Source organism: Homo sapiens, chromosome 15, assembly GCF_000001405.40.
Source record: "Homo sapiens chromosome 15, GRCh38.p14 Primary Assembly".
In the NCBI taxonomy this organism is placed as follows: domain Eukaryota; kingdom Metazoa; phylum Chordata; class Mammalia; order Primates; family Hominidae; genus Homo; species Homo sapiens.
Genome location: NC_000015.10, coordinates 64,232,102 through 64,258,932, shown reverse-complemented (window position 1 = coordinate 64,258,932; position 26,831 = coordinate 64,232,102). Strand labels below are relative to the sequence as shown.

General features: G+C 38.4%; 1 protein-coding gene across 4 annotated transcripts in view, besides 4 other annotated features; it reads left to right on the top strand.

The window, feature by feature from the left end:
- CSNK1G1 (casein kinase 1 gamma 1) overlaps positions 1 to 26,831 on the top strand; it is a 190,649-nt gene that overhangs the window by 97,241 nt on the left and 66,577 nt on the right. For all 4 annotated transcript variants that reach the window (NM_001329606.2, NM_001329607.2, NM_022048.5 and 1 more), the window contains exon 4: positions 7,352 to 7,421. In NM_001329606.2, the coding sequence (NP_001316535.1) occupies positions 7,352 to 7,421 (70 nt within the window). The remainder of the gene's footprint in view (positions 1 to 7,351; positions 7,422 to 26,831) is intronic.
- Positions 10,589 to 10,883: an enhancer, noted in NCBI's record as "tiled region #12494; HepG2 Activating DNase unmatched - State 5:Enh". NCBI's record gives its function as "activates a minimal TATA promoter and a strong SV40 promoter by Sharpr-MPRA in HepG2 cells {active_cell/tissue: HepG2}" and the evidence as "EXISTENCE:reporter gene assay evidence [ECO:0000049][PMID:27701403]".
- Positions 11,773 to 11,832: an enhancer, noted in NCBI's record as "active region_9566". NCBI's record gives its function as "activates an Ori minimal core promoter by ATAC-STARR-seq in GM12878 lymphoblastoid cells {active_cell/tissue: GM12878}" and the evidence as "EXISTENCE:reporter gene assay evidence [ECO:0000049][PMID:35858748]".
- Positions 11,953 to 12,453: an enhancer, noted in NCBI's record as "H3K27ac hESC enhancer chr15:64538679-64539179 (GRCh37/hg19 assembly coordinates)". NCBI's record gives its function as "activates a minimal SCP1, AML or CMV promoter by ChIP-STARR-seq in primed H9 embryonic stem cells {active_cell/tissue: H9 hESC(primed)}" and the evidence as "EXISTENCE:reporter gene assay evidence [ECO:0000049][PMID:30033119]".
- Positions 12,454 to 12,954: an enhancer, noted in NCBI's record as "H3K27ac hESC enhancer chr15:64538178-64538678 (GRCh37/hg19 assembly coordinates)". NCBI's record gives its function as "activates a minimal SCP1, AML or CMV promoter by ChIP-STARR-seq in primed H9 embryonic stem cells {active_cell/tissue: H9 hESC(primed)}" and the evidence as "EXISTENCE:reporter gene assay evidence [ECO:0000049][PMID:30033119]".

Below are 26,831 nucleotides of genomic sequence, written 5' to 3'. Positions count from 1 at the left end.
TAACTCTGTGAACTTAATCTTTCACAGAGGTATCTTAAAAAGATAAAATCATTCAAAAATTTTACTGTTTTTTTCTCTAACTTAACTGATTTATTTTTTGTACTTAGAAGAAAATCATAACTGATCATCTAATCATGGCCTTAAAAATCTGTCAAGCATGGAAAACATACCATATGGTCATATTAGAAGCAAAGAAGTCAATTGGTATATTAGTACTAACCTTGTGAATAATTAAACTAGTCATAGAAAATGATATCCTATTTAAAAAAGTAATAATTTTATTATTTTTGAGGACTAATAATTTTAAAAGACAGAATTCTTTATCTTATATTTAAGGTTGATAACAAAACCATTTTTTCATGTGAAATGTTTCGTATGACTAGTTTCACTGAAACTCTGTGTTTGTCCTCATAGTAAGTGTCCCAGGATTTACAGGTAGCTTTGTTTTATTAGTTGGAAGCCAGAGGAGTTAATGGTTGAAGGAAATTGAAGGAAATCTATGCTATTCTTTTCTTTTCTTTTTCTTTCTTTCTTTATTTTTTTTTTTTTGGAGACAGGGTCTCACAGTGTTGCCCAGGCTGGAGTGCAGTGATGTGATCTTGGCTCACTGCAACCTCCGCCTCCTGGGCTCAAGCAATCTTCCCACTTCAGTCTGCCTCCTAAGTAGGTGGGACTACAGACTACATGCCACCACACCTGGCTAATTTTGTATTTTTTGTAGAGATGGGATTTCATCATGTTGCCCAGCTCGGCCTCCCAAAGTGCTGGGATTACAGGCGTGAGCCACCACGCCTGGCATTGTTATTTTCTAATGAATTGCACTTACCACATCCACACTTGTTCTGTGATTGGTTGTTCTTCTCATCCAGCTTGCTTGTGGAGGAGTTAGGGTTGTCTTGTGAGGAACTGACAGTTACCAGATTTGTTTCCCTACAAAGGGGTGGGTGGACAGGGAGCAGGGCTTAGAGCAGCAGGTACCTTCTAGGAAACCAAGTATTTTTGTATTTTGACTTGGAACTCTTGTTGGATAGATGGGAGCAGGAAGAGAGGTAATACATGTAACAATGCAGGTCAAATATCCTCTTAGATTGAATATTAGAGGATTAACCGAACAGACACAGTGGCTCATGCCTGTAATTCAAGCACTTTAGGAAGCCAAGGCAGGCAGATTGCTTGAGCCCAGAAGTTCAAGACCAGCCTGGGCAACAAGGCAAAACCCTGTCTCTACAAAAAATACAAAAAATTAGTCAGGTATGCTGGCACACACCTATAGTCCCCACTACTTTGGAGGCTGATGTGGAAGAAGTCACCTGAGCCCAGGAAGTCGAGACTGCAGTGAGCTGAGATTGCTTGCACCTCTGCACTCAGCCTGGGTGACAGAGTGATACCCTGTCTCAAAAAAATAATATTAACCATATTTTTTAATTTATAGGAATTTGGTTATTCTTAAAAGTGTTCTCTAGTACACCTGCTTTTTTTACTTTTTCTGTTTTATTATTCTGATAAGTTGGAATAATCTTTGATTATTTGGGACTTCTAAGAGAACAAAGCACTTCCTAAAACACTTTAAAAATTTGCTACATTACTACATATTTGTTAGGCTTTCTGTTAGGGACAGTTCTTTCATCTTGATTTCTTCTGCCAGGTTATACCAATCAACCTGTATAGATAAGCTTACATAACATATTGTTGACATGATTGATCGTTACATTTCATTTCCTTTTTAAAAACTTTTATTCTGCTTTGTATGGCCACTATTTAAAGCTAAAAATGGAACTCTTACAATCTAGTATGGTGTGACTCAGTACCGCATTTCTCTTTCAAATAAGTCTCAAAGCCATTTTAGAGGATAACAGTTTTGTCTACAGGCTTTCATTCTTGCTTTTGGGCTTCTGTTCTCCAAAGGAAGATATGAAGGCAGTAATTGAGCTCTTTGGATTGTAATGGTCAATTTGCCTTAAGCACTACACTCCTATAAGGTAGCTGTCTGCTGTTTGTTTAGGATTTTAGGCAGGCATATGTTTTCCAGAATATGGTAAATATTCTGGCAAATGCACAGCCCTCTATGGAAATGTAATCAGCATCTGGCACAGAAATGCAAGGAAGCTCTGCTGCTGCTGTTTCTGTTGTACTTTGTTTGGATCTTCATTGTGGACTCTTTTTTCTTAGATTTCTTAGATTTCTAAAAACCTTTAAAAAAATCGTACACAAAGTAAACAAAATAGTGTAATGAGCCCCTCCTTTATCCATCACCCACATTTCTAGGGTTCTTTTTAACAGAGGTTTTCTAACAGTTGGGTTTAAAAAAAAATCTCCTGTGCTGCTAATATTGCTGCCTTCTGTAGTCTGTAGACTGAGTTTTGCAATGCCTTCTACTTATAGTGCTTCCAGAAAAGCACCTTGAAGCCCAATTGGCTGAGCAGGCTATGGCCATGTGCTAAGGAGTTGGCTGAAGTGTGTAATTCTCTCAGTCTTCATAATAAGACCCTCATGTCTGAATATATGTGATGTGTATGCCTTTCAACCCTTGAACTCTATGGAGTTTTGCATTTTTAATTTACTAGCTTGGCTACCCAACGTCAGATTGAATATTTTCTATTATGCTTTCCAGCATGAAGATTGAGAGTATAATATTTGAGGAAGGATGTGTGGTTTTTAAAATTCATTGCCTCTGTGGTTTGTCAGAATCCAAAAGCGATTTCTCTGGAAAGAATAGTCCCTTTTCTAGTGTTTTGATCGACTTCTAGTTCCATGTTGATTTGTCATCACTGTTTCTGTTTGGTTCCTTGTGAATTCTTAGTTATTTTGCTAATGGAAAAATTCTATACCTGGCTGCTTTGATAGTGATTCAGTGGAATATCTGCAACCAGATGGAGACATAAGAGTGATATGATACCTCTCTATCTGAAGAGATAAATAAGAAAGGGACTCTACAGTATAATTAGTCTTATGTACTTTTCTTTTTACTGAAAGTCTTGAGACACTTGAAGTCCAACTCTAATGATTGCTGATTTTATACTCAAACAAGGGTATGAGTTCTTTCTTCATAGCGCTTCCTACAGATACAAACATTCCAGTCTGGCCTGAATTGATTTAGAGAAAATCTTCCTAGAAGCAGAGGGATAGACTAGACAACTTCGGAGAAACTTCTGAATTCTTTGATTAATGGATTCTATATCTTAAGAAAAATGCAGAAAACTTCAAGTGGATTCAGGAAAGAGCCTTCAAAGATGATCAAAGAATTAAAAACTAGGACCAATGAGGAAAGGTGAAAGGAATTTGAAATTACTTTGCCTAAGAAAAGAAAGTCTAGGAAAGCCTGAGAAAAGTAAGTTTTGTTATTTGAAGAGAGCTACTTAATAGTATTCGTGGTTATTGAGGAGCTTTTTTATTTTTTTGCTGAGGACTTAAGAAAAATAGGCTTAAGTTTCAGTAGTGAGATTTGAGTATAATATAAAAGTGTTCCAAACCATGAAACTTGTTCAACATCAGCATGAATTGTCGAGGGAAGTTATGGAATCTCCTTCCTTGGAGTCTGTCTTAAACATAAGACAAATAGGCGGGGTGTGGTGGCTCATGCCTGTAATCTCAGGACTTTGGGAGGCTGAGGTGGGTGGATTACGAGGTCAGGAGTTTGCGACCAGCCTGGCCAATATGGTAAAACCTCGTCTCTACTAAAAATACAAAAATTAGCCGAGTGTGGTGGTGTGCATCTGTAGTCTCAGCTACTTGGGAGGCTGAGGCAGAAGAATTGCTTGAACCCGGGAGGTGGAGGTTGCAGTGAGCTGAGATTGTGCCATTGCACTCCAGCCTGGGTGACAGAGTAAGATTCCATCTCAAAAGAAAAAAGAAAAAAAGGACAAATAACTACTCATTGGGGGAAAGGACAGTCTTTTCAACAAATGATGCCAGAAAAACTGGATACCCACATAACAGTGAAGTTGGATTCTTACTTTACATTGTATTCAACAATTAATTCAGAGTGGATCAAAGACCTAAATGTAAGATTGAAACTATAATATTTTACTAGAATACACATGGGAAAAGCTTCATGACATTGGATTTGGCAGTGATTTCTTGGATATGACACCAAAATCACAGACAACAAAAGAAAAAAACTAGCTAAGTTGGACTTCAGCAAAATTTAAAACTTTTGCACACTGTCAACAGAATTCTAAAAAGGGCAACCCATGGAAAGGAATAGGAGAAAATAATATTATCTAATAAGAGATGATATCCAGAATTTACCATTATAACAGTTTTTTAAAGTGCAGTGGCATTGGCCAGGTGCAGTGGCTCACACCTGTAATCCCAGCACTTTGGGAGGCCAAGGCAGGCGGATCACCTGAGGTCAGGGGTTTGGTACCAGCCTGACCAACATGCAGAAACCCCATCTCTACTAAAAATACAAAAATTAGCCAGGTGTGGTGGTGCATACCTGTAATCCCAGCTACTTGGGAGGCTGAGGCAGGAAAATCGCTGAACCAGGAGGCAGAGGTCGTGGTGAGCCAATATCATGCCATTGCACTCCAGCCTGGGCAACAAGAGTGAAACTCCGTCTCAAAAAAAAAAAAAAAAAGTTCAATGGCATTAAGTACATTTACATTGGTGTACAACCATCACCACCATCCATCTCCAGAACTTTTTCATCTTCCCTAACTGAAATTTTGTATCTGTTAAACACTAACTCCTCATTCTCCCCTCCCCCCAACCCCTTGGCAACCACCATTCTGTCTGTCTCTATGAATTTGACTACACTAGATACTTAATTTTTTTTATTGTTTGTTTTTTTGGAGACGGAGTCTTGCTCTGTCGCCCAGGCTGGAGTGCAGTGGTGCGATCTAGGCTTGCTGCAGTATCCACCTGCCGGGTTCAAGCAATTCTCCTGCCTCAGCCTCCTGAGTAGCTGGGACTACAGGCGCACGCTGACACTCCTGGCTCATTTTTTGTATTTTAGTAGAGACGGGGTTTCACCGTGTTGTCCAGGCTGGTCTCGAACTCCTGAGCTCAGGCAATCCACCCGCCTCAGCCTCCCAAAGTGCTAGGATTACAGGCGTGAGCCACCGCGCCTGGCTACTGGGTACTTAATATTAAGTAGACTCATTCAATATTTGTCCGTTGTAACTGGCTTATTTCACTGAGCATGATGTCCTCAAGGTTTGCCCGTGTTGTAGCATGTGTCAGAATTTCCTTTTTAAGGTTGAATAATACTTCACCCTATGTATATACCCAATTTTGTTTATCCATTCATCCAATTATGCACACTTAGGTCGCTTCCACCTTTTAGTTATTGTGCATAATAATGCTATAAACATGGATGTACAAATAAATCTGAGTTCCTGCTTTCACTTCTTTGGAGCATCTATCCAGAAATAGAATTGTAAATCATAATGATTCTGTCTTTAATTTTTTGAAAAATTGCCATGCCATTTTCCAGAGCGGTCGCACCATTTTGCATTCCCATCAGCAGTGCACAAGGGTTCCAGTTTCTCCACATCCTCATCAACACTTGTTATTTTTCTGTTTTTGATAATAGCCATCCTAATGGGTGTGCAGATGTTGAGCTTTATTTTATTTATTGATTGATTGAGACAAGGTCTCACTCTGTCGCCCAGGCTGGAGTACAGTGGCACAATCACAGCTCCCTGCAGTCTTGATCTCTGGGACTCAAGCAATCCTCCCACCTCATCCTCCTGAGTAGCTGGGACTACAGGAGCGTGCCTCCCTGCCAGGCTAATTTTTTAATTTTTGGTAGAGACAAGGTCTCCCTATGTTGCCCAGGCTGGTCTCGAACCCCTGGGCTCAAACAGTTCTGCCGTCTCAGCCTCCCAAAGTGCTGGGATTACAGGCATGAGCCACCATGCCCGTCCTATTTTATTTATTTATTTGTAAAGATGAGGTTTTGCTGTGTTGCCCAGGCTGGTCTTAAACTCCTGGTCTCCAGTGATCCTCCTGCCTCAGCCTCTGAAAGTGCTGGGTTGGCAGACATGAGCCACCATGTCAGCTACTGTTGAGGTTTTAAAGAGAGATTATAATGTGTTTAGGGTAATGTTTGGTTTTCTTGTTAGCCAGTTGCCCAGTACACTGTCAGTTTAGAATAATCAGCCAGCCAGTTGCTCAATTGGTATAGAGCAAAGTATGGTTGTTTGGCTGCTTTATCTCTGAGGTTTTTAGAAAACTCCATTTTTGGAAACTTGAACACCACATTGATTGAAGTTACATATTTTAATTGCATTTACAATCTTTAATTCTCAATAGTTTAAAAAGAAATATACATAAGGATGTTCCTAAAAGCATTGTTCATAATATTGGAAAATGAAAACAGTTCACGTGTCCAAAAATTATGGGGAGGGTGTGTATACATACATACATAAATACATATCCACATACAGGGCAATACTCAAACCATTAAAATAATATAAGCCAGGTGCAGTGGCTTATGCCTATAATCCCACAGCACTTTGGGTGGCTGAAGTGGGAGGATTGCTTGAGCCCAGGAATTTGGGACCAGCCTAGGCAGCATAGTAAGATCCTATCTCTACAAAAAATTAAAAATTAGCTGTGAGTGGTGGCACACACTTGTGGTCCCAGCCACTCGGGAGGCTAAGATAGGAGGATGACTTGAGCCTGGGAGGTTTTGACTGCAGTGTGCAAGACCCTGTCTTAAAAAAAAAAAGAAATTATACACGTTTATTTACCGCCATGGGAATATGTTATTACATTGTTGAATTCAATAGCACATTAATGAACAGCAAATATATTATAATCTCATTTATATAAAATTAAGTTCATTAGTCTATATTATATATATTAATACATATATAGATAAATAAATACTTTGAAAGACATTCACTAAAATGTTAATAGTGCCTCTCTTTAAAGTGACAGGATCACAGATGATTTTTACTTTCTTCCTAATTTTTGTATATTTGAATTTTCTTCTGAGCATGCATTATTTTTCTAAAAATAATAAAACCATGAACCACCCAAAATTCTGAACAAAACAAGCAGGAAATACATTCTGGTATTTTTTTATTTAAAGGTTTGGCATCAAGTTTCCTGGCAGAATACATTCCAGGAGAATATTTCATTGCAAGAAAGATATCCTTGAATGATAGCTCATGCAAAGTCTATTTTTATTTAACTATCCATGGAAGGACTTGTATGTAATTCACCTTCATCTTCTCTTAGCTATACTGTCCAAGACCAATTGTGGTTAGAAAAGGCTCTTATATATGGATATTATCTCTAAAACATTGGGTGATCTTAGCCCTCGTTTACTCCAAAAATTTAAGAATGGAAAAATCCCATTTGTTTAAATCTGATCACAGTTTTTCTTTTTGGATTTCAGGAACCAATAAAATCACGTGCTCCACAGCTTCATTTAGAGTACAGATTTTATAAACAGCTTGGCAGTGCAGGTAAGTCAAGTCTTTTCTCTCCACTTACTTAGTATGTATCTTAGCTGGAAGCCCTAAAATATACAAATTTTTTTGTCTGGTTTGCCCTTTTTACCAAACCATCTATCTCCCCTGCTTGCCGGATAGGTAAATAAACATAGTCAACCACAAAGCTACTTGCGCTCTGGTTCCTGGAGTTGAGTTGACAGGGGAACTGTGTTGCTATGACTATGCCCACAGACCAACCTGCAGATGCCTTCCACTTGTCAAATACTCATAGTGTGAAGGATTTGCTTTTCAGCAGTTCATTCTCTTTTCTTTACTTATACCAAAAGAAAGGAGGAAATGTTGGTAATTTGCAAAATATACTTTACCATACTGAGATGGTTTATCTGTTTTGAAGACATACTAAAATATACATTCTGAAATATTACAGAACCGTCATTTTATCCATTGTCCTCATTAATTTGCAAGAGCTATCCATATGATTGTAATAACCTATGACCTTCGGCAATTTTTAAAAATTAAGTTAATCACTGTAAAAAATGTTTGTTTTTACCAAAAAGCTCTAATTTCTCAAATATCTTACTGGCTTCCAGAAAAATGTTTTGCTAATGTTTACCTGTAGGGACAAGTCTCTCAGAAGATGAAATCTTTCAGAGCTATTTTCACTATTTGACATTAGTAGAATTTCCTCTGCTTTATGCCCCCTTCACTGTGACAGGTTTTATATGAATGACTAAAGCTTGGTTTCTATTTTTTTTTTCTTTCTTTCTTTCTTGTTTTGGAGACAGGGTCTCACTCCCATCACCCAGACTGGAGTGCAGTGGCACGATCACGGCTCACTGCAGCCTGGGCCTTCTAGGCTCAAGCAGTTCTCCTGCCTCAGCCTCCTGAGTAGCTGGTACTGTAGGCATGCACCACCACACCAGGCTAATTTTCTGTATTTTTAGTAGAGATGGGGTTTTGCCATGTTGCCCAGGCTGGTCTTGAACTCCTGGGCTCAAGTGATCCTCCTGCCTTCAGCCTCCCAAAATGCTGGGATTACAGGCATGAGCCATCATACTGTTTGTTCTATTTCAAGTAACCCTATGAAGGTACTACTGAAGGAATTTGAGTTCTGCATCCTAAAATATTTAGAATTATATGAGTCATTGTGTGTTATTCAAGTTTTATTATACCCTGACTATAGCAATAATCAGCTATAGTTATAACCCAGGGAGCCCACAATGGACTTGTCTTTCATTGAACTTAATATGAATTCTTGCTCACAGTAGCCTCTCAGTATATATTTGTTAATTGATTGGAGTGTTTTTGGCATAAGATTTAAGACTGGCAACTGAGTTCACAGGGTGTATACATAACTTGAGGCTTATCTTCCCACATGCCCCAGGACTACATTTTAATTGTTGTTCCTCTTACATTCCTGGTTTTATAATGTTGTTAAGTTATTCTAGGTTTCATAAGTTTTAGGGAAAAGACTGTCACAGCCCATTTATGATAAGCATGTTTGTATATGTCTCATAAATCCAAGGGTCAGGTAACAACATGCTTAATCCAGTCCAGCTTAGAAGTTTAAGTGGGGAAGTGGACAGGCCAGTTTTCAGGATTTCCTCTGTAAGCCCTTTCAAATAGATCCACCAAATCAGACCAATCTTCCCTTTTCAATATAGAGCCAAAAAAAATCTAATGTATTTGTTAGGTAGGAATAACATCTGTGCTGCTGGGTTGGTACTCTTCCCAAATACAGAAAATTGCAAGCTCTTGAAGTTTCAGCATTCTCTGTGCACTGAAAGCGAGGAGTAAACAGGGAGGGCATTAGAGGAAAGGTGACTATACAAATTGCTTTTCACTTAAGCAGCAAGGAAAAACTGGAATCTCTGAGACTGGTATATCCATCATTGTCATGAGTGGGAATAGGAGGGCTCTGTTGTACTGGTTAGGCCAACTGTTGACTCATAGTCAGGTAGGCTGGCCATCGTTGGTCTGTCTCCCAGTACCTTTTCTAACAAACATGTAAAGGTCACAAAGCCTTCTAGGTCCTATATGCAGTTCAGTGGTGACTACTGGCCTCTTTTCTGCTTCTTGAGATCACCCACTACTTCTAAAATAGCTGCGGTGGGCATCATCTTAATACCCTTGCCTGCAACTAACAAGGTAGCTGCAGACTTTTCCAAGATAGGAAGTGCTTTAGTTTTCTGTTTCAAATCCCCTTGCTACCCCTACCCGCTAGTGTAAGAATTACTTTTAGGATTTTCTTACAGTCATCTAAATCGGCTTGACTACTTAGTTCTAATCATAGAGTTCACCACTCTTCAGGCTAATTTAATGTGGGAAAGTCCAGTGTATTTGAAGTTCTTCATATTAGGCCCAAGTTTGCCATTTATTTATATATTTATTATTTTTAAAATTTAGATGGAGTCTTGCTATGTCACCAGGCTGGAGTGCAGTGGCACTATCTCGGCTCACTGCAACTTCCGCTTCCCGGGTTCACGCCATTCTCCTCCTCAGCCTCCCGAGTAGCTGGGCCTACAGGCGCCCGCCACCATGCCCAGCTAGTTTTTTTTTGTAATTTTAATAGAGACGGGGTTTCACCATGTTAGCCAGGATGGTCTCGATCTCCTGACCTCGTGATCCGCCTGCCTCGGCCTCCCAAAGTGCTGGGATTACAGGCGTGAGCCACCACGCCTGGCCAATTTTTTGTATTTTTTTAGTAGAGACGGGGTTTCACCATGTTGGCCAGGATGGTCTTGATCTCCTGACCTCGTGATCTGCCTGCCTCGCCCTCTCTAAGTGCTGGGATTACAGATGTGAGCCGCCGTGCCTGGCCATATTTTTTATTTTATTTTTTCCAGAGTCCAGATGAGGAAGAACATTGGGATATTTTTAAAATCCTGATTATATTATCCTATTGATGATTAGGCATTGACTATTTTTTTATTGTAATTGCATATTGGTCCCACTCTCCCCACTCCCTGCCATAAGATTATAAGCTCCTTGAAAACAAGCCTTGTGTCTTCTTTACCCTTGTATCTCAAGCGTATCTTAAGGCCTGGTGTGATGTCATTCTGTCACATAGCAGTCAGCAAGTAGTTCAGTGGCAGAAAGAAGTTAGAAAGATTTAATAAGCTTGCCTTTTTAGATTTTTACCAATGTTATTAATAAAAATATTCCTTGTGATGGTTAAAAAAAGGAAATTTATTTTGAAAGAAGATCAATTGACAAGAAAATAGACAAGATTTCACCATGTGTCCTTGTAAATGTGAGCATGAACACCAGAGCTTGTTTTTAACTTAGAGGCACAGCATTCCTCCCCCTATTTTTTCAGAGTAAGTTCTCAGCTGCAAGTATGACTCATTGGTAGTTAATGTTTGAGCAGCCAGTGCGCATATGCCACTCTTTTGATTACCAAGGTGATGTTGCAGCATTGTAAATAAACAACCTTTTGTGCCAAAGCCACACAAAGACCACAGTAACATAATTAGTGTTTTTACTCACTAGTGTTTTGTCTGTCATTGTTCATTACTGTCCAGTGAATTATAAAATATTTGGATTTCCTGACAATGAATACTTAAACAAAAAGCCCATTGTGACTTAGGTTTGTTCAGTGAATTAATCATTGCTTATAAATGTATGAAATTATTTGGGAAAAATGATTGATTATGAATTTAAAGAATACCTATTGCTGTGATATCCAGAGCTTGAGACATTAAATTCCTAAAATAGGAACTTTTTGTTGTCCTGGGACTATGACCATTTTCTTCAGTACCCAACTCTTAATCATTACCTTGGCCTTTTGGACCCCAGTTTCACATTGATGACCTGATCTAGAAATTCATACCAATTCTCTAATTATGTAGAGATAGAACAAAAATGACAGCACTGGGTAATTGTGAATGTGGTTCTGGTTGGAGGTCTTCCACATTGTCTCTGCTTTTCCTTGTGTGATCTCTAACTCTTTCTCTTCCATTCCACTTTGTTTTCTAGTGAGTGGTCACACTTTTCAAGCTTTGTTTCTTGATTACAGTTTTACCACCAAGATTTTCAAGACTTAATGCTTAAGAATTGATATCTCCAAGATAATCAGGGAAGAAAGTAAAGGGGACCATGAGAACCTTGAAACTGAGAATAAGCATTTTATTTTCCTGTTAGCTATCATTTTTTCATTTCTTATAGAAACCAAATTGTAAAATCTTATAACTATTTTTCTTATTTTCTTCAATCATCAATGTTATGTTAATTGTATTATGGTCACCATAGGCAAGTTTTAATTTCTTTTCTTTTTATGGGAATGATTTTAGGTTTCAGTATTTCCTTAGGGTCTTTTACTTAGGAAGATACATACATTATCAATTTAAAAATTTTCCAATCCATAAATCTTTTTTCCAGCATAGCTCTCAGTTTTGCTTGTATTCTAGCACACAGGAACAAGATTTGGTGGATGAGAGGTTTGGGGCAGAGATATGAAAGAGTCTGTGGCCGAAACAGATCCGTATTAGGAAGAGTGACAGTATGAGAATGACTCCATAGCTGACCACATGACAACAGCGTGGTATATGTTCGTTAATTGACTAGAAGATGAATAAGCCAGAACCAAGCATGCAGCTGAAGTGGGAGGAAAAAGGGAGGGAGGGGATGAGTCAGCAAGGACCAGAGCAAATGAAAGAGGATTGAGGGTTTAGAGGGTAGGTAAACGGCAGGATAATAGGATTCTTTGCAGTAAATGACAGGAAAATGGAGGTCTCTGACATAACCTGAAATTTCTAAGTCTAGGCTCCCATATCCTGGCTTCCCAGCAGCTATTGTAATCTAGTGACTCTTCTGATTTGGCTCTCTTATAAAGGAGAAGCTAATCCTCAAATTAAAAAATGACAAGATTCCTCCCCCCCCCCCTTTTTTTTTTTTTTAAAGAGACGGACTCTTGCTCTGATTCTGAGGCTAGAGTGTAGTGGTGCAATCGTAGCTTGCTGCAGCCTCAAATTCTTTGGCTCTAGTCATCCTCCCGCCTCAGCCTCCCAAGTAGCTGGGACTACAGGCGCAATGCACCATAGCTGGCTAATATTTTTAGTTTTTTGTAGGGATGGAGTCTCACTATGTTGACCAGGCTGGTCTTGAACTCTTGGCCCCAGGTGATCCTCTCACCTTGGCTGCCCAAAGTGCTGGGATCACAGGCATGAACCACTGTGTCCAGCCTTAACAAGACCCCAGTTGAAACTTCACAAATGCAGTAGTCAAAACAAAATCTCATTGGGCAGAGAAAGCCAGTTAACTTGTTAAATACCTAGTAGGCGGTTCATTTTTAAAATTGATACATAATATACCTATTTATGGGATATATGTGATATTTTGATACATGCATATCTATGTGTAATTATCAAGTCAGGGTGGTTAAGCTACTCATTACCTCAAACATTTACCATTTCTTTGTGTTGGGAACATTTCAAATCTACTCTTCTGGCTATTTTGAAATATACAATAAATTATTGTTAACTATAGTCACTCTGCTGTGCTATCAACACTAGAATTTATTGCTTCTAACTGTATGTTTGTACCCATTAACCAAGCTCTCTTCATCCTCCCCACACCCAACCATTCCCAGCCTCTGGTAACCATCATTCTATATGAGATCAACTTTTTAAGTTTTCACATGAGCGAGAACATGTGATATTTGTCTTTCCCTGCCTACCTTATTTCAGTTATTATAAAGGCCTCCAGTTCCATCTGTGTTGCTGCAAATGACAGAATTTCATTCTTTTTTTGTGTGTGTGTCTTTTTTTTTTTTCCTTTTTGTGGAGAACCGGGGTCTCGCTATACTGCCCAGTCAGGTCTCAAACTCCTGGGCTCAAACTATCCTCCCACCTCGCCTCTCTGAGAGCTGGGCTTACAGGTGTGAATTTCATTCTTTTTTATGGGTGAATAGTATTTCCTTGTGTGTATATGTACCACATTTTTTTGTCCTTTATCTGTTAATGGACACTTAGGTTAATTGCATATCTTTGCTATTATGAATAGAGCTGTAATAAACATGGACGTACACACATGTTTTTGATAAACTGATTTTGATAATGGCTGTGAAGATCATTTGCCCATTTTTAAATCAGATTATTATTTTTACTATTTTTTGCTATTGAGTTGTTTGAATTGCATATATATCCTGGCTATTAATTAATCCCTTATTAGATACATGGTTTGCATATATTATATTTTCTCTTATTCTACTGGTTGTCTCTTCACTCAGTTGTTTCCTTTGCTGTGCAGGAGCTTCTTAGCTTGCTGAAATTCCATTTGTTTATTTTTGCTTCTGTTGCCTGTGTTTTTGAGGTCTTACCTGAAAGATTTTGCCCAGACCAATGTCATGAAGCATTTCCCCAATGTTTTATTCTAGTAGTTTCATAGTTTCAGGTCTTACATCTAAGTCTTTAATCCATTTTGATTTGTTTTTTTTTGTATAGTTAGAGATAGGGGTCTAGTTTCATTTCTCTAAACAGACCATCCTTTCCCTACTGAATGTTCTTGGCACCTTTGTTGAAAATTAGCTGGTTCCAAATATGTGGGTTTATTTCTGGGTTCTCTCCTCTCTTCCCTTGGTCTCTTTGTCTGTTTATGCCAGTAACATGCTGTTTGGTTACTGTAGCTTTGTAGTATATTTTGACATCAGGTAGTGCGTGATTAGTGGGTGATGCCTCCAGCTGTGTTGTTTTTTTTTCCCCGCCTTGATACAGGGTCTTACTCTGTTACCCAGGCTGTAGTGCAGTGATGTGATCACGGCTCACTACAGCCTCAGCCTCCCTCACCACGCCCTGCTAATTTTTTGTAGAGGTGGGGTTTTGCCATGTTACACAGGCAGGCATCAAACTCCTGGACTCCAGTGATCCACCTGCCTCAGCCTCCCAAAGTGCTGGGATTACAGGTGTGAGCCATTATGCCTGGCCTTGCTTTGTTCTTTTTGCTCAGGATTGCTTTGGCTATTCAGAGTCTTCTGTGATTTCATAAGAATTTTAGGATTGTTTTTTCTATTTCTGTGAAGAATGTCTTAGGTATTTTGATATGGATTGTGTTGAAGCTATAGATTGCTTTTGGTATTATTAATATTTTTACAATATTCTTCCAATCTATGAACAAGGGATGTCTCCCCCCGGCCCACACTCTTTTTTTTTTTTTTTTTTAATTTTTCAGTTTCCTTCACCAGTGTTTTACAGTTTCCCTTGTAGAGCTCTTTCATATCCTTGGTTGAATTTATTCCTAGGTATTTTTTTTGTAGCTATTGTAAATGGAATTACTTTCTTGATTTTTTTCCACTAGTTTGTTATTGGGATGTAGAGATGCTACTAATTTATTTATTTCTTATTTTATTTTTATTTTTTGAGACAGAGTCTCGCTCTGTCGCCCAGGCTGGAGTGCAGTGGCGTGATCTCGGCTCACTGCAACCTCTGCCTCCCAGATTCAAGCAATTCTCCTGCCTCAGCCTCCCAAGTAGCTGGGATTACAGGTGCCCACCACCACACCCAGCTAGTTTTTGTATTTTTAGTAGAGACGGGGTTTCACCATGTTGGCCAGGCTGTTCTCGAAGTCCTGACCTCAGGTGATCCACCTGCCTAGGCCTCCCAAAGTGCTGGGATTGCAGGTGTGAGCCACCATGCCCGGCCTGTTTATTTATTTTTTTGAAACAGGTTCTCACTCAGTCACCCAGGCTGGAGTGCAGTGGTGTGATCTCGGCTCACTGCAACCTCCACTTCTCAGGCTCAAGTGATCCTCCTGCCTCAGCCTCCTGAGTAGATGGGACTACAGGCACATGGCTAGTAATTTTTGCATGTTGCTTTTGTATCTTGCAACTTGACTACATTTTTAAATTCATTTTGAGAATTTTTTTGGTGGCAGTTTTAGGATTTTCCACATATACAATCATGTCACTTGCATATAGGGACAATTCGACTTCCTCCTTTTCAATTTGGATGCCCTTTATGTCTTTTTCTTGCCTGTTTGCTCTGGATAGTACTTCTAGTACTATGTTGAATTAGAGTGGTGAGAGACGGCATCCTGTCTTGTTCCAATTTTTTGAGGAGAAATTCAGCTTTTCCCTGTTTAAAATGATGTTAGCTGTATTTGTCCTATATGACCTTTGTTACATTGAGGTATGTTCCTTCTGTACCTAGTTTGTTGAGGGTTTTTTTTGTTTTGTTTTGTTTTGTTTTTCTTTGAGATGGAGTCTCGCTCTGTCTCCCAAGCTAGAGTGCAGTGGCGCAATCTTGGCTCACTGCAACCTCTGCCTCCCTGGTTCAAGCGATTCTCCTGCCTCAGCCTTCCGAGTAGCTGGGATTACAGGTTCACGCCACCACACCTAGCTAATTTTTGTATTTTTAGTAGAGACAGGGTATCACCATGTTGGCCAGGATAGTCTCGATCTCTTGACCTCATGATCCGCCCTCCTCAAAGCCTCCCAAAGTGCTTGGATTACAGGCGAGAGCCACCGCGCCCAGCCGAGGATTTTTTTTTAATCATGAAGGGATGTTGAATTTTATCAAATGCCTTTTCTGTGTCTATTGAGATGATCATACGGTTTTGTCCATTCTATTCATGAGATATATCTCATATATTAATTTATGTATGTTGAATCATTCTTGCATCCCTGGAATAAATCCCACTTGATCATGGTGAATTATCTTTTTTATACATTGTTGGATTTGGTTTGCTAGTATTTTGTTAAGAATTTTTGCATCTATGTTCATGAGGAATATTGCTATGTAGTTTTCTTTTGTTGTTGTGTCCTGGTCTGGTTTTGGCATCAGGGTAATCCTGGACTCAGAATGAGTTTGGAAGAATTTTCTCCTCTTCACTTTTCTAATGTTTTAGAAGAATTTATATTAGTTATTGATATAAATCTGGTTGAATTCAGTAGTGAAGCCGTATTAGGCCATTCTTGCATTGCTATGAGGAAATACCTGAGACTGTATAAATTATAAAGAAAAGAGGTTTAATTGGCTCATGGTTCTGCAGGCTGCACAGGAAGTGTGGCACCAGGCATCTGCTTGGCTTCTGATGAGGCTTCAGAAAGCTTACAGTCATAGCAGAAGGCAAAGTGGGGACTGGTACATCACAATACAAAAGTAGGAAGAAGAGTGACTGGGAGTCGGGGGAAAGTGGGGGAAAAAATGACCAGATCTAATGAGAAGTCACTTACCATGAAGACAGCACCGCCATGATTCAAACACCTCCCACCAAGCCCCACCTCCAGCATTGGAGATTACAATTCCACATGAAATTTGAGCAGGGACAAATATTTGAACTATATCAGAAGCCATCAGGTTCTGGCCTTTCCTTTGATGGAATAAGTTACTGCTTCAGTCTTATCACTCATAATTAGTTCAGGTTGTGTTTTTCATGGTTCAGTTTTGGTTGGTGGTATATGTCCAGGAATTTATCCATTTCCATTAGGTTTTTCAGTTTGTTAGCATATAGTTGTTCATAGTAGTCTCTAATGATTCTTTGTATTTCTGTGGTATCAGTTGTAATGTCTCCTTTTTCGTTTCTGATTTTATTTATTTGAGTCTTCTCATTTTTTTCTTGGTTAGTCTAGCTAATGGTTTGTTGGTTTTGTCTATCTTTTTTTTTAAAAAAACAACTTTTTGTTTCATTGATCTTTTGCAACTTTTGGTCTTAATTTTGTTGATTTCTGCTCTTTATTATTTCTCTCCTTCTACTGAATTTAGACTTGTTTTTTTTTTCTTTTCTAGTTTCTTGATATGCATCATTAGGTTGTTTATTTGAAATCTCTACTTTTTTGATGTGTTTATTGCTGTACACCATCTTGATTTCTTTATTGACACTATAGTTATTCAGGAGCATGTTGTTGAATTTCCATGTATTTATACAGTTTCTAAAGTTCCTCTTGTTATTGATCTCTGGTTTTATTTCCTTATGGTCAGAAAAGATATTTGTTATACCATTTATTTTAAATTTTTTGAAATTTGTTTTGAGGCCTAACACATGGCCTGTCCTGGATAATATTCCATATGCTGATGAAAAGTATATACTCTGAAGCTGTTGGATGAAATGTTTTGTAAATGTCTGTTAGGTCTATTTGGTCTAAAGTGATGTTTAAATCCAATGGGATGTTGAAGCCCCCAACAATTATCGTACTGGAATCTATCTTTCCCATTAGATCCAATAATATTTTATCTTTCTGAGTGCTCTGACATTGAGCACACATATATTTACAATTGGTTATATCCTATTGCTGGATTGTTCTCTTTAACATTGTATAATTACCTTCTTTGTTGCTTTTTACAGCTTTGACTTAAGATCTTTTGATATATCTACTCCTCCTTGCTTTTGGTTTCCATTTGTGTAGAATATCTTTTTCCATCCCTTCATTTTTAGTCTGTATATATCTTTATAGGTGAAGTGAGTTTCTTGTAGGCAGTATATAGTTGGGTCATCGTTTTTTATCAGTTCATCCAGTCTGCATCTTGTAAGTGGGAGAATATAATCGGTTTATATTCAAGGCTATTTTTCACAGGTGAGGAATTACTCCTCTCATTTTGTTAATCTTTTTCTGGTTGCTTTATATATTCTTTATTCCTCTCTTACTGTTAATCATCGCAACTTGGTGGTTTTCTGTAGTGATACGGTTTGATTCTTTTTCTTTTTCTCTTTCTCCTTTGTGTATCTGCTTTATCAGTGAGTTTTATAGATTTACGTATTTTTATGATGGTAATTATCATCTTTTGACCTCCAGATGCAGGATTCTCTTGAGCATTTCTTGTAAGTCCAGTCTAGTAGTGACAGATTCCTTCAGTTTTTGCTTGTCTGGGAAAGACTTTATTGCTCTCTCATTTCTGAAGGATAGCTTTGCTATATGTAGTATTTTTGGCTGAGAGTTTTTTTTTTCTTTCCATTACTTTGCACATATCATTTCATTCTCTCCTGGCCTGTAAGGTTTCCACTGAGAAATCTGCTGTTACTCCCTTATAATTTTCTTGACTCTTTTTTCTTGCTGTTTTTAGAGTACTCTCTTTGTGTTTGACTTTTCACAATTTAGGACTGTAATATAAAGTGGACCTTTTTGGGTTAAATATATTTGGGAACCTTTGAGCTCCCTGGACCTGGATGTTCATATCTCTCCTTAGACATGAAAAATTTTCAGTTGTTATTTCATTAAATAGGTTTTCTATGCCTTTTTTCATCTCTTCTTCTAGAAATCATATAATATGCATGTTTGTTCACTTAATGGTGTCCCATAAGTCTTGTAAGCTTTCTTCACTCTTTTTCATTATTTTTGTTTTGTTTTGTTTAGTTTGTTGAGACGGAGTCTTACTCTGTCACCCAGGTTGGGGTGCAGTGGCACAATCTTAGCTCACTGCAGTCTCTGCCTCCGGGGTTCCAGCTATTCTCCTGCCTCAGCCTCCCGCGTAGCTGGGATTACAGGCATACACCACTATGCCTGGCTAATTTTTGTATGTTTAGTAGAGACAAGGTTTTACCATGTTAGCCAGGCTGGTCTTGAACTCCTGACCTCAAGTGATCCACCCGCCTCAGCCTCCCAGAGTGCTAGGATTACAGGCATGAAACATTGCTCCCGCCTTATTTTGTTTTGTTCTGTTAACTGAGTAGTTTCAAATGACCTCTCATCAAGCTCAGAGACTTTCTTCTGCTTACGTCTGCTGTTGAATTTCTGTTGTACTTTTTATTTAATTCATTGAATTCTTCATCTGTGGGAAATCTGTTTGGTTCTTTTCTATATCTATCTCTTAGTTGAATTTCTAGTTTATATCATGAATTATTTGTCTGGTTTTGTTGACTTACTTGTCTGTATTTTCTGGTATCTCATTAAGTTTCCTTAAGATTATTATTTTAGGTCAGGCATGGGTGACTTACACCTGTAATCCCATCACTTTTGGAGGCCAAGGCAAGTGGATCGATGGAGCTCAGGAGTTTGAGATCAGCCTAGGGAACATAGCAAGACCCCATCTCTATGAAAAAGACAAAAATAATTAGCCAGGTGTGGTGGTACGCACCTATAGTCCCAGCTACTTGTGGGGCTGAGGCAGGAGGATTGCTTGAGCCCAGGAAGTTGAGGTTGCAGTGAGCCATGTTTGTGCCACTGCACTCCAGCCTGAGTGACAGAGTGAGATCCTGTCTCAAAACAAAAACAAAAACAAAGAAAAAAAACATACAACAACAACAACAAAAGATCATTATTTGGAGTTCCTTTTCCAGCAGTTTTAAAATTTCTTTTCATTGGGGTCTATTACTAAAGAGTTATGCTTCTTTGGTGGTGTCATATTTTCTTGCTTTTTCATGTTTCTGTACCACTGTGTTGATGTTTGTGCATCTAATGGAACTGTTGACTCTCTTAAACTTTCTAGAGTGGCTTTGATAGACAAAGACTTTCACCTGCAGTTGGGTCTTAGTGTGCCGGTTGGGAAGAGTGTGATGAATCTGTGTGCAGGTAGGTTTAGTGATACAGCCTCTGTGCAACTTCTTTGGCTACATTAAACATCAGGAATAAATGTGGATGCCTTAGTGGCCTAGGGTATAGAGTTTTTTGGTAGTGATGGCAGAAGGTTGTTAATATCCTTGTTGGAAAAGACTTTTGGGTCCTCCTGTTCTCATTTTCCCCACAATGGGGAGACTCTTGGTATCTGACATAGCCTACAAGCAGCCGTGAGACTAGGATCCTAGGCTCAGGGTCTTGAGGTACCTTTAGCAGCCCAGATCCAGGGGGTTGGGTTCCAGCTGTGAATCTCTATCCCTGGGGGGGCATGGCACAGCCCTGGCCCAACTCCAGGGAAAAAATGGGTGCTCTGGAGGTTTGAATTCAGAATACACGCCATAGCTGTAATTCAGGAGCCCAAGTCAGTAGGGCTCAGTCTAATAGGCACTTTATGTGGTTGTTTCTTTTTTTCCCATTTTTGAGCACAGGAACTTCAGTAACTTACCTAAAGTCACACAGTAAGCAAACCTGCACTAGGAATGTGGGTTTTTTTTCATATATATATATATATATATATATATTTTTTTTTTTTTTTTTTTTTTTTTAAGGGACAGGGTCTTGCTCTGTCACCCAGGCTGGAGTGTAGTGGCGTGATCATAGCTTACTGCAGCCTCAAACTCCTGGGCTCAAGAGATCCTCTCACTTCAGCCTCCCAAGTAGAGTAGCTGGGAATACAGGTGCACACTACCATGCCTGGCTAATTTTTTATTTTTTATAGAGATGGGATCTTGCTTTGTTGCCCAGGCTGCATGTTTTTGTACAGATTTTTTTTATGTGCGTATATACCTATAAACCCAGCAGATTCCTAGAGCCATCCACACATTATCCCTTACCTAATTTTAAAACAGTGGCAGAAGACAGTCATAAAAGCTTTTAACTGGGGCAAAGATTGGAAATTTCCCCCAGTGAAAGAGCAAGATTTCCTGTTTCACATGATGCCCCCTAATTTTGTGACTCAGAAGGCTGCCTTCGTTACTTCCAAAACCTTTTATGGCCTTGAGTTTTTTAGGTTTTGAAATTTTTTTCCCACAGTAAATCAATCATTGATGTTGAATGCATGTGCCATGTATACAACTGAGAAGCTTAGTGCTCCTGTATTCAAACTGTTTCACCCACTGAAACCTTTGTGGTGTGAATAAAGTAAGTGTTAATAGAGGTTATCAGGCTTTGCAATTTCGAAGTCGCTTGGAGGGAATGGTTTTATATGCCCTCATAAAAGATAAGCAGTGCTGGTTGGTACCACAAAAGAGCTTTGAATCTAGGCAACTGTAAATTAACAGGAGCATGGTTCTGTTTCAATAGAGCAATTAACTATAGATCTGAAGAAGTCATAAGAAAGTGTAATATTGATAAGACCCTTTTATAATGTTGTGAACATCCTTAGGAGTACATTATAAATAAGCTGAGCAACACAGGAAACAGAATACAAGAATTCAAGAATACAAACTTCTGAAGATATACTAGAAAAAATGGGAATTTTACTTAAAGAGGACTCTTTTAACACAGGTAGTTGTGAACAAAGAACATGCCTGAACTTAGTTGTCCTCTAGGAGTGCTTAGGGAACTTAGAAGAAACCTTTTGATCTTCATTTGGGTAGAAAATTTACATAACCTGGGAAGAAAGGATGAAATAGTGAACCTGGTAAAAGAAAGTAAAATTTGGATCTTTTCTTGCCATGTATAAATTTTTCAGGTCTCTCTGCCAGAGGTATTACCTATACTCCTAAATTCAGGGAAAAGTTATTTTGTCTTCCTGTTTCATTTGTACAAATTTTGAGGATACCTGTGCAATTTTGTTATATACATAGATTGCATAGTGGTCAAGTCAGGGTTTGTAGGGTATTCATCACCCAAATAACATACATTGTGTACCTACCAACCAATTTCTCATCTTCCTTCCCCCTCCCACTCCCTCACCATTCCAAATTTCTATTCTCTATAATTCCACTCTCAACATTCATGTAAACCTATTTTTTAGCACTTATGAATGATATCATACAGTATTTGTCTTTCTGTGCCTGGTTTGTTTTAACTTAGGTTCCATACTTGTTGCTGCAAATGACAGGATCTCACACTTTTTGTGGCTAAATATTACTCTATTATGTATGTATACCACATTTTCTTTATTGATTCATCCATTGATGGACACTTAGGTTAATTCCATATCTTTGCTGTTGTGCATAGTCCTGTGAAAAATACATGAGTACAGATATCTTTTTGATATATTGATTTCTTTTCCTTTGAGTAGATACCCAGTACTGGGATTGCTAGATCCAATAGTAGTTCTATTTTTAGTTCTTTGGGAAATCTCCATATTGTCTTCCATAGAGACTGTACTAATTTACATTCCCACCAACAGTGTAAAAGAGTTCCCTTTCTCTGCATCCTTGCTAACATCTGTTATTTTCTTAATTTAATAGTAGCCGTTCTGACTGCAGTAAGATGATATGCCATTGTGGTTTTGATTTGCATTTCTTTAATGAGTACTAATGTTGAACATTTTTTAATAACCTCTTGGCCATGTGTGTCTTCTTTTGAAAAATGTCTATTAATGTTCTTTTCCCACTTTTAAATTGGATTATTTGCGGTGGGTTTTGTTGTTTGAGTTCCTTGTATATTCTGGTTATTAGTCCCCTGTCAGATGAATAGTTGCAGTTATTTTCTCCCATTCAACAGGTTATCTCCTCTCCCTGTTGATTATTTCTTTTGCTGTGCAAAAGTATGAATGGATAGCCTTGCAATTACATTTTGAGGACTGAAGATTTAGACATTGTCATCTCCAATTCTAGATAGTGTGAATAAGTGGAGATAGCCATGAATTGAAGTGAGAAAAAGTTTAGCTCAACTTTTCCTCACTATTTTCTTTTCTTTTCTTTTCTTTTTTTTTTTTTTTTTTTGAGATGGAGTCTCACTCTGTCGCCCAGGCTGGGGTGTGGTGGCACAATCTCAGCTCACTGCCATCTCTGCCTCCCAGGTTCAAGCGATTCTCCTGCCTCAGCCTCCCGAGTAGTTGTTATTACAGGCATGTGCCACCACACCCAGGCTAATTTTGTTGACGTTACATATTTCCAGGACCATGTTAGCTGTTTACCTAACAGTTTTCTACCTGTTATGTTCCCTATGGATAGAGTCTGTACCTTATTTATCTTTTTTCTCTTTCTTCCCTTAACCGTCTAGTGTAGTATCTTGTACATAGTAAGTATTTAAGAAATGTTTGAAATACAGAAAATAAATATATACAATACAAATGAGTTCAGTGTTTGAATCTTTCTCAGTCACCTCGGAGTTGCACAATCATTGCCAAATATGTTCTCATTAACACAGTCCTTAAGTTACTATCCACTCAGGAGTTTAACTTCTACCTTGCGGGGAAGATAATCCAGAACCCCCTTTCCTTTACCCAAAAACTTTTTGTGGGTTTTTAGACTTTTAGACTCTTTCTGCTTCTGCTATATTTATACGGAACAGATTTAAGCTACATATATTTTGTTGATTTATAAAGCCCAATGAGGTTTTTTTCGTTTTCAGTGTCTTTGGAAATACTGAGGCATCACTCTGGTTTGCCATGATTTCTCAGACACCCACTTTGGGGCTGAAATTTCATTTTACTGATACATGTGTTAAATTGCCATCAAACATTTTGTCATCTCATGTTTGGGTGCTTTTCCAGTTATCTATTGTGTGAAACAAGCCAATAAAAAATGTTGGTTTAAGAGGAGGTAGAGCAGCTATATATGTTCTTAGTCAACACTGTTTTGATTGCAAATAACAGCATCTATTTAAATTAGCTTAAACTCAAAAGGAAGATTTACTGGAAGACCAGCAGGATATGTCATGAAACCAAGATAGGAAATATACAGGCCTATCTAGGGATTAGAACAAAACACTTGGATAATTCCTAGGAACCAAGACAACTACTCTTGGTCCCTGGCTTTCTTTTCAACTCTTCTTGTCTCTGACACTTTTTTTGACCCTCCTCCTGCTTAGGGCTGTAAAATCTCTTGCCTCAGCTTGCGTCTACCAGTATCATTTTGTCTACATTACCAGCCTTCTCTGCTTCTTGTATTTTGTGGGAAAAGGCCTCCTGCATAGCCCTTCTCCTCAATTTAAGCCCTAGCAGAGATTGAGTAGAGCCCTTATGTCACAACTGCACATTCCTAAGAAGAAGATTGGCTGACCCATCTTGGGTCAGCTTTTCAATCCTGGTCCAGGTAGCTTACTTGTGGGTACAGAACCACATGGGCCCACCACTCAAGAGAGAGCAGATTCTCTAAGAATGAGGTTTAAGAGCTGGGAGAAAAAAAATGACAATATAACAAGGAAATGGAGAGCTTACAGACCATGCTTTTCTTTCTCTTCTAGTAACACTTGCTAAATAGCAAGCCATTTTGCCTTGAGACATTTTAACATCTTGAGATTGTTAAAGTAGGGAGTAGAAACTGAGAGCTAGTGTGTGGTCCTGGCATAGGGCAGTGAGTACCCCCAGAAACAGAACTACACCTTTCACAATGTATTGTACTCACCACCTCTTGTGGGAAAATAATCATTTTGGAGAAAAACCTGCTTTGAGCCTCTGTTAAGTGAGGTAGCTCATCTCATACTTTGAGGGGGTCTGGAATGATGAGTTGAGGTTTAAAGCAACATCTGCCTAACTTTTATGCTCTCAGGACCTGCTCCTGTGTGAGTGGCCTATTTGAAATAAGTAAATATTAGGGCAACAGCAACCTAATTTTATTTTATATTTTATTTTTTATAATATTTTATATTTATTTTAACAGCCTCATGTTAAAAACAAAAAGTTGCAATCCCGTTCACTGGGTAAAGGGTGAGGGGGGTGTTTGAAAATATCTGAGCAGCACTAATGTCACAGTTGTTCCTCTTAGGGAGCAGAACTTAAATATAAAAGTGTGCCTGATTTGGTGAGTTAGTAGCAAGAACCTGATCAGTATATGAAAACCAGCTCTATCTTATGGAACAAATGTCAGATGAGGAAAAGTGTGGTGTGGTCATCTTTTCATTTGAGAGAGGAAGCGGGAGGGAGAGAGAGATTTCAAATCTACCTGCATTGTCAGGAAACATTTTAAAAGGATATTTAAATGTTTCCATTGATGTTGTAGCTTAAGTCCAGTGTGTGGCAAATGCTTAATTTTGTGAAGAAAAAAATAGGAAGAGTTGTTTCATTTATTGGACTTGGAAAGGTATAATTCACATACTCAGTACTAATAATTTCTAGTCTTAAATGGAGCTTAAATAGTGATACTATGAATTTCCATCTCTTCTTCCAAGGGTGAAATATCAGGACCTCAGCCTTTAGCTATACTAGTTTGCAAAAAACAAAAACAAAATCCTGATATTTCTGAGGCCCGACTTCTGGACCAGGACGAATTTTCCAGTTGTGTGTCCTTTGTAATTTCCGTAAAGTTTTAGGACATTTCTGATACTGTGGCTAACAGTGTACCCTACTGCGTGATGAAATATAAGCAAGAGATATTCATATATAATGCTGTAAGAGACTTGCTTATCTTTTAGGGCCAGACCTCCTGTGGTCCTTCCCTGCCTCTTTAAATTCTCAAATAGCTCTAAATCACCTGAGCCACATAGAGTAATTGCCTTTAATTACATTTATAAAATTTTAGAGAATTTTGCACTGGGGAAAGGAAAATGTAAAAAAAAGAGAGAAAGAGAGAGAGAGAGAATCTGTCCTTTTCCCTCCTGCAAAAGAAAAACATTTCTATTTTACACATTTTGGACCAGTAATTTCCTTAATTGCAAATAGACTGTTGTGAGTTTATTATAAAAATTGTTTGGCCTTCATACATCCCACAGTAACACAAAGTACTGACACCTTTTCAGCGCATCATTTTGCAAAGTGCAGAACTGCTTGAGGTTATTTGCTCAGTGTGAAGGTAGAATTTGCTACTTAGATTTTGTTTTCTTTTAAAGGGCTTCATGAAAAATAGAAGGTAAGGTTCTAGAAATACACCCATGTAACTTACATATAAGTGAACTGGACTGAAGAGTTGTGATTAGTTATAGGAAATCAATATAGTGCTTATGCAGGCAGAGGTTTCAAAAAGGTGGATCACCAAAACCTGTCAGTGGGAGCTTGCTTGGAAATAGACACAGACCCTGAAGGTTCTGGTGCTATTTTCTCCCTTTAATTCTATGTCATATTTTGACCTTTTTTTGGTCTTTACTCGTATTTCTCTTACTGTATACCTGTATGTTTCTCTTCCATCCGTATTCTCACAGCCATTTCTCTGGCATTGAGTAGAGCTTTTAGTGGCTGCCGTTAGAGAATGCTTGTTTAAGGAGGTCAAAGACAAGGGAAGTCTCAGTCTAAAATAAGGACTAGAAGTAAGCTCAGTGACCCTCAAAGGACTGACCACAGCCCTTAGTCACTCTTCTTCCTAGCTCATAGTATGTCAAGGTTAATCATTTAGAAGGGAGGTAACATTTAGCATTCCCAAAGCTGTGGAGTACTATGGAATGAAGAAGGTGAGTCATTGAAGAGAATTATTCCTATGATTATGAGAAGGCAGAATTATGTATCTACTGTATTATATTAAAACTTAACTAGTTCCTTTCCAGTATCTGTCAGTGTCATTGGTAAGAAAACATTTCCTTAAGTTCCAGTAACAAACTATTTAAAGATAGATAACTCCTTGTGCCTACTATCATAATAGTAATCTAGCTGCTAGCTAAGCCCTTTTCTATTTGAGAATATAAGTTATTTGTAAGTGTGCTTGGAACAAAAACCAATAAAAAGATCAATTTTTAACATTTGTGACAATTATATTGTCATTTTCTTTCTACAAAAGTAATTTATATTCCATCCATTAAAAGAAGAGTTTGTCAGATCTGCACGATTCTGCATTCTTGTGCTTTCAGCAGTCTAACACACTTTTAACATTTTTCTGCATTTTCTTTTCTTTATA